The sequence below is a fragment of the Homo sapiens genome, chromosome 3, assembly GCF_000001405.40.
Source record: "Homo sapiens chromosome 3, GRCh38.p14 Primary Assembly".
In the NCBI taxonomy this organism is placed as follows: domain Eukaryota; kingdom Metazoa; phylum Chordata; class Mammalia; order Primates; family Hominidae; genus Homo; species Homo sapiens.
The window spans coordinates 45527135-45539937 of record NC_000003.12 but is presented as its reverse complement, the minus strand read 5'-3'; the positions used below and the strand labels follow the sequence as shown (position 1 = coordinate 45539937).

The following is a 12803-nucleotide window of genomic DNA, read 5'->3' as shown; positions in this document are numbered from 1 at the left end:
TAACTATTTGTATATATAAAGCAACTCTACAAAACACCACCACCACCACAAGATCATGCTGTAAATACAGTTTTGTATGTTCTTTTTTCCCATGTTTTAAAATGATATTTAATTTCATGGCAAAGAATGACACACAATTATATATATAATAGGACCCTAGTTTAATAAAAATTTTATATGAACAGATTGGAAGGAAATAGTAATAATATCAGTTGCAATAAAATAGTAATAACATTGGTAGTAAATAAATCAAAGTAGTATCTCTGGGGAGTAGAAGTATGGGTAATTTCTCTTTGTTTCTTTTTTTGAGACAGAGTCTCACTCTGTCATCCAGGCTGGAGTGCAGTGGTAAGATCTTGGCTCACTGCAACCTCTGCCTCCCAGGTTCAAGCGATTCTTGTGCCTCAGCCTCCTGAGTAGCTGAGACTATAGGTGTGCACCACCACGCCTGGCTAATTTTTGTATTTTTAGTAGAGACAGGGTTTTACCATGTTGGCCAGGCTGGTCTCAAACTCCTGGCCTCAAGCGATCCGCCTGCCTCAGCCTCCCAAAGTGCTGGGATTACAGGCATAAGCCACTGTGCCCAGCCTTCTCTTTCTTTTTTAAAGACTATGTTACAGATTTTCTACAAGGGATATTTTATTACTTTTTTAATTTGAAAAAATATTTAACATTTTTTCGTCCTGTGAGATCAGTTTAAGATTTTTCTTTTAGGTTCTTTTCATGATTTCATTTTCTTCTCCATTTAACTTTCAAATCTATTAGTAATTTCTTTTGTGTTTACTGTGAAAAAACATTATTTAAAAAAAAATAACATGGTCAACTTTCCAAACCCAATTTGTTGAATATATCTTCCCTTCCCTATTGGTTTGTGATTTTTCTTTCAAGTATTATACCAGGGACTGTTTCAAAAACTGTTCACTTCTGAGCTACTCAAAGTGCCTGTTTGCCATAAGGTAAATAACTTGGGCCAGAATGTAAATCAACACATCACCTCCTTCATTGAGAGGGAAAAAAAATGGTAGCCTAACTCAGCGGTGTCCTCGGTGACACAGCTGACTTAGGAGCTAGCACAAGCTCCTTATCTTGTTGTGGACTGGAACTGAGAGTTCCACCGACCGCTCTGACTTGCACTGTCCATCAGTCCATTCTGTTCTGTTGACCTGTCTTGGTTCTTGTGCCAGTGCCATAGCCTTATTTGTTGTAGCTTTCCATGTTTTACTACCTGGCACTCTTGCTGTAACCCTGTGTTGCCAGTCAGCCTGAGGGAAGTGAAGACTCCTTAGGAGCTGAGGATCATGTGGTATGAAAGACAGATTCCTGCTGCCCAGATGGTTCCTGTGGCCCGGGGCTTTTGCGCTTGCTAATGAACCTATTCTGTGTCTAACAGATGTGCCTTTTGGCAGAAGGAGAAAGAAGATTCCTGCTTGTTCCTCAGATGGAATCCTATTAAAACTCACATCTGAATATGAGACGGAGGTCACAGAAGAGAGATCATCACTTCTTTTAGTGAGCTGGTCCTGTGTGGCTTGTCCTGTGACCCAGCTGCAGCGGGAAGATTTCCAAAACCTCCGTATGGCAGTTGTACAGGATGCCTGGGAGATGAAAGGACCTTGGACACAAATGTTCTGGGCAGAAGCTGTTACAAATTCCACTTTAAAAAAAATGAGGAAGCCCAGCCTTCCTGGAGCAGTCAGGATGCTTATTTATAGTAGCCTGGGCCCCTGCCAACATTTCCATATAGATGGGAGTGGGGCCATCCTGTTCAGCAGTGAGGAACAGAAACTCAGGACCCTGGTTTTTATGTAGCGTTTTCGCCTCCTTGCTCATTTTAGGGAAGTAAGAATACCTAACACTTGCGTGGAAAATACAATGATTCCTTTATGTGGTAATGCCAAGGGGAGAGGTCAGGTGGAGAGCTGGCCTTCAGGACACACAGTCTAAACACAGGCTGGGAAGTGGCAAGGCCCTGGCACACAAGCCTACCTGACAAGGTCGGCTATGGCCCACAGCCCACCCCCTTCCTTCCCCTCCTCTGAGAGAGCTACTATTGCAGACTTTCCTGCAGAATAACCGAAACAAGCCTCCTCTTCCCACTGAGAGGTGGTGAGGTCACCATGTCACCATGGCACCCCAGAGTGATCATGGCTTCTGTGGATGGCAGTCCTCTCCTGGTGGCCATCTTCAGGCCTGCCTCCACCTCATCTCCTCACCCCTGCACTCATAGACACACCAGGGGGGAAGAGTCAGGGACTCTGCGGCGTCCGATCCCTGCTATGCCTCATGTAGCCTTGGCAATTCCAAGGAAGTGAATAGGAAGGAGGCCACTTTGCTTTATCCTTTACACAGAGAAATAATTTCATTGACAGTATTTTGAAACAGCAACATCTACACAGCACACACATTCATGTATAAAAAACTATCAGAGCATCAGTGGGTATCTTATTCTCCCCTGTAATTATCACACATACTTTTACATGATTTTTACGTTTATAATTTTGTTGAAGTTAATGAGTACAGTGTAAAGACAGCAAAACACAATAGCTACATTTCACAACCACTTTTTATAAAAAGCTACAAAGAAAGTCATCCCAAATTATTTTATGAAGAAAAATAGATTTGTGGACTGAGACCTCAAGAGGGAGAATTCCTTCAGAATCCCTAAGGGACGTAAAGGCTCTCTCACTGTGCTCTCAAAATTAAGGTGCTGATGGATTACTTGGAGATCACGAGTCACACACCAGAGGCAAATATTGAGAAGGAAAAGTCACACAGAACTATAAAAATGGCCAGAGAAACAGAAATGTTAAGGAGATCTTACTTATTTTAAATAACATATTTTGGACAAGGGACTAATCTCAAAGAGGCACACAAAGACAAAGACACACACACACACACACACACACACACACAGAGCAAAAGAAGGACCATCACCCAAATGCCCATCACTACATTCACTGGTTAGGACACCCTATCTCTGTTAAAAAAAGAATGGAATAGTGTTGATACAGAACTACTCTAAAGAACAGTAAGAGCAAAAAATGTTTGTATAGGATGTTAACATCTCTATAAAGGTAGACATGTCACATCCATCCACCACATGCTTCTGTCAGATTAAACATAGCATTGGTGACAAAGGTTCTCTGGGAAGCAACTGAGTGACAGCTTAGGACACACTCTCTTGTAACGTTGAATGCTTTACAAAACACGTATAGACATGCTTTTCAATTTAAAAATTAGGTTTCGCTTTGCTTCAAGAAGCCCAGAGAGGCACACTGGAAACTGGACAGATTTTCTGCAGATGGTTGTAGGCACTTTTCTCCCGAAGCTGGGCACATACAGAAGTGAGTTCACTCCCCAGGAGCAGTGCCCTGAGGACAGGCCAGCCAGGGCTCCGAGTGCTCCTGCAGGCACATTCCACGTACTCTGCCACACACAGCAGGAGGAATGCCTGCCTCAGACAGTAGTAAGATGAATGGTTGGATCTGGTTAGGTGTGTGTGTATGTGTAGGTGTTAAAACCTTCTTCAGACCAGGTGTGGTGGCTCACGCCTATAATCCTAGCACTTTGAGAGGCTGAGGTGGAGGTATCACTTAAGCCCAGGAGTTCAAGACTAGCCTAGGCCCTAGTCTCTACAAAAAAATAAAAAATTAGCCAGATGTGGTGGTGCATGCCTACGTCCCAGCTCCTCAGGAGGCTGAGGCGGGAGGATCACCTGAGCCTGAGAGGTTGAGGTTGCAGTGAGCTGTGATCATGCCACTGCACTCAGGCCTGGGCAACAGAGTGAGACCCTGTCTCAAAAAATAAACAAATAAAAATAAAAAATAAAACTTTCAATTGGAAATAAATTCCTTCCTCCCTTCCTTCCTCTCATAGTCTATATTATTTTCCAGAATTAGAATCTCAACACTCAAGACTTATGAGTTTAGAAAGGCAATTTAAAAAATCCTTTATTCTGCAATAATTATAGATTCACAGGAAGTTACAAAGAAATGTTCAGGAGGTCCTATGTGAGGTCCTGTGCACCCTTCACCCAGCCTCCTCCAATGGTCACAGCTGGCATGATTATATCACAATATCAAAACCAGGAAGTTGACATGAATGCAATCCACAGAGCTTATTTGGATTCCATCAGTTTAATAACTAATGTGTGTGTATGTGGGTGTGGGGGTGTGTGTGTGTGTGTGTGTGTAACTTAGCATAACCATGTGTAGTTTCATGTAACCACCATCAGTTAACACAGCCAAGAGCCAGAAGAGTTCCATCATCACAAGGCTCCCTAGCGCCACTCTTTTATGGCCACCACCCACAACTCCTAACCCATGGCAACCATGAATATGTTCTCCATCTCTACAATTGTGTTATCTCAGGACTGTTATATAAATGGAATAATATGGTAGATTGCTTTAGTGATTAGCTTCTTTCAATCAGCATATTCCCCTAAGATCCATCCAAGCTGTTGCCTGTTGGGTCATTTTTCAGGATGGTGAAATTACGTCTCCAACACGAGCACCACCAAGGAGCTCGCTGTTTGGTGATTTTCTTTCTTTCTTTCTTTTCTTTTCTTTTCTTTTTTTTTTTAATTGAGACAGATTCTCACTCTGTCGCCCAGGCAGGAGTGCAGTGGCACAATCTCAGCTCACTGCAACCTCCACCTCCCAGGTTCAAGCGATTCTTCTGCCCCAGCCCATCCTGAGTAGCTGGGATTATAGGCATGTGCCACCACGCCTGGCTAAGTTTTTGTATTTTTTTAGTAGAGACAGAGTTTTACCATGTTGGCCAGGTTGGTCTCCTGACCTCAGGTGATCTGTCTGCCTCGGCCTCCCAAAGTGCTGGGATTACAAGAGTGAGCCAGTGTGCCTGTTAGATGATTTTCTGCTCTTTTACTGTTGACCAGCAAAGGAACCCTTGAGTCTTTTGTCTAGAAACAGTGTCAGTGGCTCCAAATACTCAAAATTTCCCTAGGCAAGCAGCTACCACCCTCATCTAGATAGGACAATATTATGGTAAACAAAAGAAACTTTGTGAATTCAGATGTGGTGTCTTTAGCTTCTCAGATCCGAAGCTTCAGGAAGGAAAAAAAGATTTCCTCATCCTGTTTGCAAACTGCCAAGACGCTGGGTCTGTTTCTTATAAAAGGTCTCTGTTTACTCTTTAAGCAATTGATAGAGGACTGTTAGGTTCTAAGTACTTTCGGCGTCTCTAAAATGTTTGCTTTTTATCCAGGGCAATAATGGCCATTATGCCAAGAGGACTTCACATCTCCCTTAAGATATAGATCTCAATTCTGTTGCTCTTTGGGGAGAACTTCTTTGAAAATCAGCCTCTCAGGGGAACTCTAGGAATGGTCATTTCTGACATGCCACCTTGGTGGACCATGTTTTCTTTAGTCATTCTGGAGTTATCTTTCTAAGATGCAGGAATAAAACTGAAGGTATATGAAAGGTAAGTGTTTTAGAAAAAATGAAATATGCATAAAAGCTGTCCCAGATCCTTGGGACAGGAATGACTTGACAGTCTGAGAAGACAATATTAAGGCCCTATCACAATATAGTGCTTCTGTCTGCAAAGGACTTTCAACACTCTGTTACATTAACCCTCCTCAGATGCTGGGAGAGGCAGGAGGCATCATTTCCCCATTCTCTCCTGGGGGCACCTAATACCCATGAGTAATGACCTAGGGGGACATTCCTGGTACATACGACTCCTCACTTGCCTGGGCTATGTCCCCAGCTGCTCATTCAGGAAAAAACAATACACATCTCATGGGGGAGAGCAGGAGACATAGGTTTCCCACTGCTTCTTTGAACTGAAAAAAAATGAGTTGCTATAGATCTGTAAAACTTCAGGGAGGACTGCAACTGAAATGAACACAATGTCCACTGCTCCAACTGCTCTCTCCCGCTTTCCTACAAATGCCTAGAACACTGCCTGACACATAGTACACGCTCAATAAATGTTTATGGAATGACTGAATGAAACACTGTAGCAAAACTAAGGTTCAATCTAGATCCACTCTTTATTATAAAACTGATCACAAAAGCCCCAGTGGGGTGACGTGTAGAAAAATCACGGTGCAAAGTTTGAAATGGGCTAGTTTCTACCACACTTCTTTAGAACATGTCCTGTTGGAGATCTGGTCACAGAAATGAAGGACAGACTGATAGAGGCAAACCACAGTGTACACTACCATAAGACCTGCCAGGGAGAGGAAGGACCCTAGACAGAGTAGATCCTCTGACCCCTGTATTCCAGATGCAGAGAGGGGCATGCTGGAGGGAGTTTCTGAAAATCCCATTTACATCAGTCCTTCCTGGGAGAAACAAAATGAAGGAGGTAGACAGATAAAGTGGGCCAAAGAAGGAAGATGAACGGGCGAAATATATATTCTGCGATGAGAGTGGGTGAGTTTATCACAAATTGGATCAGTATTGTTTTATAGAAAAGACTACGACAGAATTAACAGCAGGCTACTTAAAAGACTTAATGTGGGGCCGGCGCAGTGGCTCACGCCTGTAATCCCAGCAATTTGGTAGGCCGAGGCGGGCGGATCACGAAGTCAGATCGAGACCATCCTGACCAACATGGTGAAACCCCGTCTCTACTAAAAATACAAAAAATTAGCTGGGTATGGTGGCGGGGGCCTGTAGTCCCAGCTACTCAGGAGGCTGATGCAGGCAAATGGTGTGAACCCGGGAGGCGGAGCTTGCAGTGAGCCGAGATCGCGCCACTGCACTCCAGCCTGGGCGACAGAGCAAGACTCCATCTCAAAAAAAAAAAAAAAAAAAAAAAAAAAGACTTAATGTGACCACCAAAGCTAAATGAAAGAGCCATGTTTCCTGCTTAAGAAGATAATAAAAGTCTGCAAAATATAATATAATATGGCTGCAGCTTGTCAGGGCCTAATACCTCCCTCCCTTAAGGGTGTCTGTCTATTCAGCAAGGAACAAGTTAAGATCTTGTCCTGAAGTCTGCTGTAACACAGTAAAAAGAGGTGGCCGGGCGCTGTGGTTCACACCTGTAATCCCAGCACTTTGGGAGGCTGAGGTGGGCGGACCACCTGAAGTCAGGAGTTTGAGACCAGCCTGGCCAACATGGCAAAACCTCGTCTCTACTAAAAACACAAAAATTAGCCGGGCATGGTGGCACGTGCCTGTAATCCCAGCTGCTCAGGAGGCTAAGGCACAAGAACTGCTTGAACCCGGGAGGCGGAAGTTGCAGTGAGCTGAGGTGGCACCACCGCACTCCAGCCTGGGCGACACAGTGTGACTCTGTCTCAAAAAAAATAAAAAAAGACAGAGGCAACTCATTCCCTCTGTGAAGTCAGTGAAACCCTCTTTCACTAACCTAACAATGCATATTGAGAAAAAGCTAGTCTTAGTAAAATAACTGCAAAATTCTATATAACCCCAGCAAATAGATTTTTTTGCAAATAGATTTTTTTTCCCAAACAGAATTTAATGGTATATTAAGTCTACCATGACATGGTCAATATGAATTTATCTGAGGATATCTCAATATTAGGCAATCAATTAACTGAACATAAATCATATCTAAAGGGCAAAAGGGAAAATTAAAAGCAAATAATACATCACCTCAACAACTGGACAATAGGCATTAAGTAAAATATAACTCCCATTCCTAATATGAGTGCTGATAAACAAAACCAGAAGGCTGCTTCCTTAACATGACAGAGACTATCCATCCCAAACCAACAGCCAACATCACATCTAACCAGGGAAGCGTTTGTTGCATTTATATCTGGAAATAAGACCTGACTGCCTGTAGCCAGCATTCTTTAACACTGCATAGGGTTTTCTAAAAAGTATAATAAAGAAAATAATCAGACACCATGGCATAACTATTAGAAGAAGAAAACATCCTTATTTGCTGATCATAGAATCCTAGAAAATCTAAGAGGATTTTACCTGTTAAAGTAAGATCAGTAGGGAATTAGGATAGAAAACAAATATGCAAATAAAAATTTAAAAAATTATATGCCATTGGAATAAGTTCTGGAGATCTACTGTGCATCCTGGTGACTACAGTTAATAGCAATGCATTATTTAGTAGAAAATTGCTAAGAGAGTAGATTTTTAACATTCCCATCACAACAAATGATATGTGTGAGGTGATGGATATGCTAATTACCTTGGTTTAATCATTCCACAATGTGTACATATATCAAAACAACACATTGTACACCATAAATATATGCAATTTTTCTCAATTACATCTTTTTAAAAGGACAGTAGGCTGGGTGCAGTGGCTCATGCCTATAATCCCAGCACTTTGGGAGGCCAAGGAGGGAGGACTGCTTGAGCCCAGGAGCTCAGGACTAGCCTGGGCAACACAGTGAGACACCATCTCTATAAAAAGAAAAAATACAAAAATTAGCCGGGCGTAGGGGCATGTGCTTACAGTCCCAGCTACTTGGGAGGCTGAGGCACGAGGTCTGCTTGAGCCCAGGAGGTCAAGGCTGCAATAAGCCCAGATTGTGCCTCTGTACTCCAGCCTGGACAACAGAGTGAGACCCTGCCTCAAAAAATAAAAATAAATTTAAAAAAATTTAAAAGATTTAAAAAATCAATTATACTAAGAAAATAATGAGTTATTTTCCTCATATATTCCAGAGGATTCATGTTACTTGGATTAATCTATTAGATTAATAGATTAATTCTTTCTTATAGTTTTTTATCAGTCTACATATATTTTTCTTAACTGATCAGATTTCCATGGTATTAACCTTTATTTGACAACATTAAGAAGACTATCAACTCACAATAAATCTTAACTGAAATAAAACAAATGTTGGTGTCAATGTGGTTTTACAGAAGAAAAATATGCCAGCCATTATCAGTCAGAAAATATAGCAGAAAGAGATTCTATTCTACAAGAACACAAAAGAAAAGAAAATACTTGAGACAGACCATGAGCTAGGATGAAAGTTTGGATGAGGTAAAGATGTGAAACCTTCCTGAATTAATTCTAAGTTTAACCACATTTCAATTGAAATGTCATGGTGATTTTGGGGAAACTTAACAAATTATGCAGAGTTTTGCTGAGAAAAATAAACAGGTGAGAAGAGGTAAAATAATTATAAGAAAAGAAATGAAGAAAGGCTAGTCTGCCAGGTGTTAAAACTGTCTGTAAAAATGCAATAGTTAAATCATTGAAGCACAATGTACAATTCAAAAACAGATCCTAGAGTGGAAGATGGAATAACTTCTTAGGAAAATAATTTGTTAATATATATCAAGAGTCTTAAATAGATTCATATCTTTTCCACTTCAAGGAAATAATATGAAGTGAGAACAAGATTTATGCACAGAATTGTCCATGGTGGATTGTTTATGGGAGTGAAATGTTAGACACACTAAGTCATGGCACACATGGACAATTAATGCAGTTTTTTTTTTGAGACGGAGTCTTGCTCTGTCACCAGGTGGGAGCGTAGTGGTGCGATCTTGGCTCACTGCTACCTCTAGCTCCCGGGTTCAAGCAACTCTCCTGCCTCAGCCTCCTGAGTATGTGACTTCACAGGCACATGCCACCATGCCCAGCTAATTTTTGTATTTTTAATAGAGATGGGGTTTCACCATGTTGGCCAAGATGGTCTTGATCTTTGACCTCATGATCCGCCCGCCTCGGCCTCCCATAGTGCTGGGATTACAGGCGTGAGCCACAGCGCCCAGCCTAATGTGGTTATTTTAAAAGTTTATATGTTAAAAAAACAAAAACAAACAAGCAAACAAACAAAAAACTCCAAATATCATATTCTTAAATATCATATTGTTAAACTGGAAATACTGAGAATTTAATTTTTTGCTAACCTGAGAAACCGACCTAAGCCCAGTGTAAAGCAAAGATGGTCAAACTGTTGCTCTGTGTTCTGACTGACTCTCTGAAGTCGTGTTTTGACTGACTCTCTGAAGTCTGTCCAGACAGGATGCACTAGGGCTCTGATGCTGACACCACCACCACAGCCTGCTGCTTGAGCTCCTCTAAGACATATCTCCTCGCTCTGGGCCCAGGTGTATGGGCCCCTGTTACCCATCCTCACAGCTGCAAAGGTGTGAGCAATCACTCAGGATTTCAAAGACATGGGATGGGCCCAGGTTGGGCTACTCCAGTTTGCAGAATGGGTTTATCACAAAGGGATTGAAAAGTCCATATTTAACATCTGGAATCATAATATCTGCTCATGTTTCTGTTCAGGCATATTCACAGAAGACCCAGAGAATTTCTGGAATTTGATTTGAGAGTGTGCATCAAAAGCCTTAATCTTTTGTATCTCTTCTGACCAAGCAATTACAGTTAGTTATGTGTTCTTAGGAAATAATTTTGCACGTAAACATTAGCTATTTAGCATTTTTTTTTTTTTTTTGGAGATGGAGTTTCGCTCTCATTGCCCAGGATGGAGTGCAATGGCGCAATCTCAGCCCACCGCAACCTCTGCCTCCTGGGTTCAAGCGATTCTCCTGCCTCAGCCTCCTGAGTAGCTGGGATTACAGGCATGCGCCACCACGCCCGGCTAATTTTGTATTTTTAGTAGAGCCTGACGGCTGGTCTCGAACTCCCGACCTCAGGTGATCAGCCCACCTCAGCCTCCCAAAGTGCTGAAATTACAGGTGTGAGCTACCGTGCCCGGCGGCTACTTAGCTTTTAAAAAAATAATGTATAACTATAAACAGTTTGAATGTTCAATGATAGGGAGTGCGTAAATTCAAACAATGGAAAACTGTATGACCATTAAAAATGATGTTGTAGGCCGGGCGCGGTGACTCACATCTGCAATCCCAGCACTTTGGGAGGCCGAGGCAGGCAGATCCCCTGAGGTCAGAAGTTTTGAGACCAGACTGGCAACACGGTGAAACCCTGTCTCTACCAAAAATACAAAAATTAGCCAGGCGTGGTGGCAGGTGCCTGTAATCCCAGCTACTTGGGAGGCTGAGGCAGGAGAATCTCTTGAACCTGGGAGGGGAAGTTGCAGTGAGTGGAGATTGTACTACTGCATTCCAGCCTAGGCAACAGAGTGAGACTCCATCTCCAAAAAAAAAAAAAGATGTTGTAGAAAAGTATTTAATGGCCCATAAATATATGTTCATGGAATATTTAAGTGAGTAAATCAGGTTATAAGATGACCTCTCGCTTAACAATAAAACAAGTCATCAATAAAAGGGAATGAACTACTATAAACAGAACATGGATTAATCTCAAAAGCATTATGCTAAATGAAATAAAACAGAAATGACTACACATTGTATGATTTCATTTATATAACATTTCTGGAAAAGGCAAAACTACAGAGACAGAAAGATTAGTCATGCTGGGGGTTGGAGTGGGTGTGGGATTGACTAATGGTGTGGGGAACCTTTTTTCAGTAATGGAAATCCAGTTCTAAAACTGATCATGGTGATGGGTGCACAAGTATATAAATTTACTTAAAACACTGAGTATATACTTAAAATGGGTAAATTTTAGGGTATTTAAATTTTATAAAGAGACATGACAAAACACAACACAACACAGACAAGTGGACACAAAATACAATACACATAGGTAAGTGAACACAATCATTTTACTTTTTCTATGTTTTGTGAGACAGGCTCTTGCTCTGTCAGCCAGGCTGGAGTACAGTGGCATGATTATGGCTCACTGCAGCCGTGAACTCCTGGGCTCAAGTGATCCTCCCACCTCAGCCTCCCGAGTAGCTGAGCCTACAGACACATGCCACCACATCCAGATAATTTTAAAATTTTTTGTAGAGATGGGGTCTCCCTATGTTGCCCAAGCTGGTCTTGAACTCTTGGGCTCAAGTGATCCTCCTGCCTGGGCCTTCCAAAGTGCTGGGATTACAAGCGTGAGCCACTGCACCCAGCCACCATATCCACTGCAATGATCTGCGCTAAGATGCTGATGGTGGCTGTTTATTTCTAGAGGGTGATGGTTAGGGGATTTTTATTCTCAGTCCTTATCATCTGGGAACTGGTCTGACAATTATAGCTAGGCCTCAGTGTTATAAGAAATTCACCAGTTGTGCATAGCTAGGCCATATTATTCTCCTGTTCAACACAAATGATCTCACTGAACACCAACATCAGACAGTCACACTGAAAACATAAAAGGAGACCAAAACAAGACCATGTCATAATTTTGTCAAAGCACAAAGACAAGGTCACTGTGAAACACACAAAATATCAAACATCCCCTTCTCTAGGCAGATATGAGGGACTGCTATTTCTTTACTAATTACAACTTTATCCTTGCTCAGGTGTATCTCCCTAAAGATAAGATTTCTTTTTTTTTTTTTTGAGACGGAGTCTCGCTCTGTCGCCCAGGCTGGAGTGCAGTGGTGTGATCTCGGCTCACTGCAAGCTCCACCTCCTGGGTTCATGCCATTCTCCTGCCTCAGCCTCTCGAGTAGCTGGGACTACAGGTGCCCGCCACCATGCCAGGCTAATTTTTTGTATATTTAGTAGAGACGGGGTTTCACCATGTTGGCCAGGATGGTCTCGATCTCTTGACCTCATGATCCACCTGCCTCGGCCTCCCAAAGTGTTGGGATTACAGGCGTGAGCCACCGCGCCCGGCAAGATAAGATTTCTTAAGATACCCAATCACAAAACTGTCCCCACTTACTGACAGCACTCAATCCAGAGCAAATCCTCACTTCCTGAGACCCTTCCCCAAATTATTCTACCAAAGCCCAAATTCATTATATAACAGGTCCTTCCTAGCACCCTCTGAGATGCCCAGTGTTTCCCCCGGTAATAAACCCAAATTGTTATCTGAAGGTGTGT

The 12803-nt window shown here is 42.2% G+C and overlaps 1 protein-coding gene across 6 annotated transcripts in view; it reads right to left on the bottom strand.

Moving 5' to 3' along the window:
* Positions 1 to 12803, bottom strand: part of LARS2 (leucyl-tRNA synthetase 2, mitochondrial) — a 160832-nt gene that overhangs the window by 9470 nt on the left and 138559 nt on the right. For 2 of the 6 annotated variants that reach the window (XM_011533554.3, XM_047447829.1), the window contains one exon: positions 143 to 1595. The exons of the other annotated variants lie outside the window; for them this stretch is intronic. In XM_011533554.3, coding sequence (XP_011531856.1) covers positions 1507 to 1595 — 89 coding nt within the window. In that variant the 3' untranslated portion in view covers positions 143 to 1506. Of the gene's footprint in view, positions 1 to 142; positions 1596 to 12803 lie in introns of those variants that run through there. 6 annotated transcript variants of the gene reach the window in all.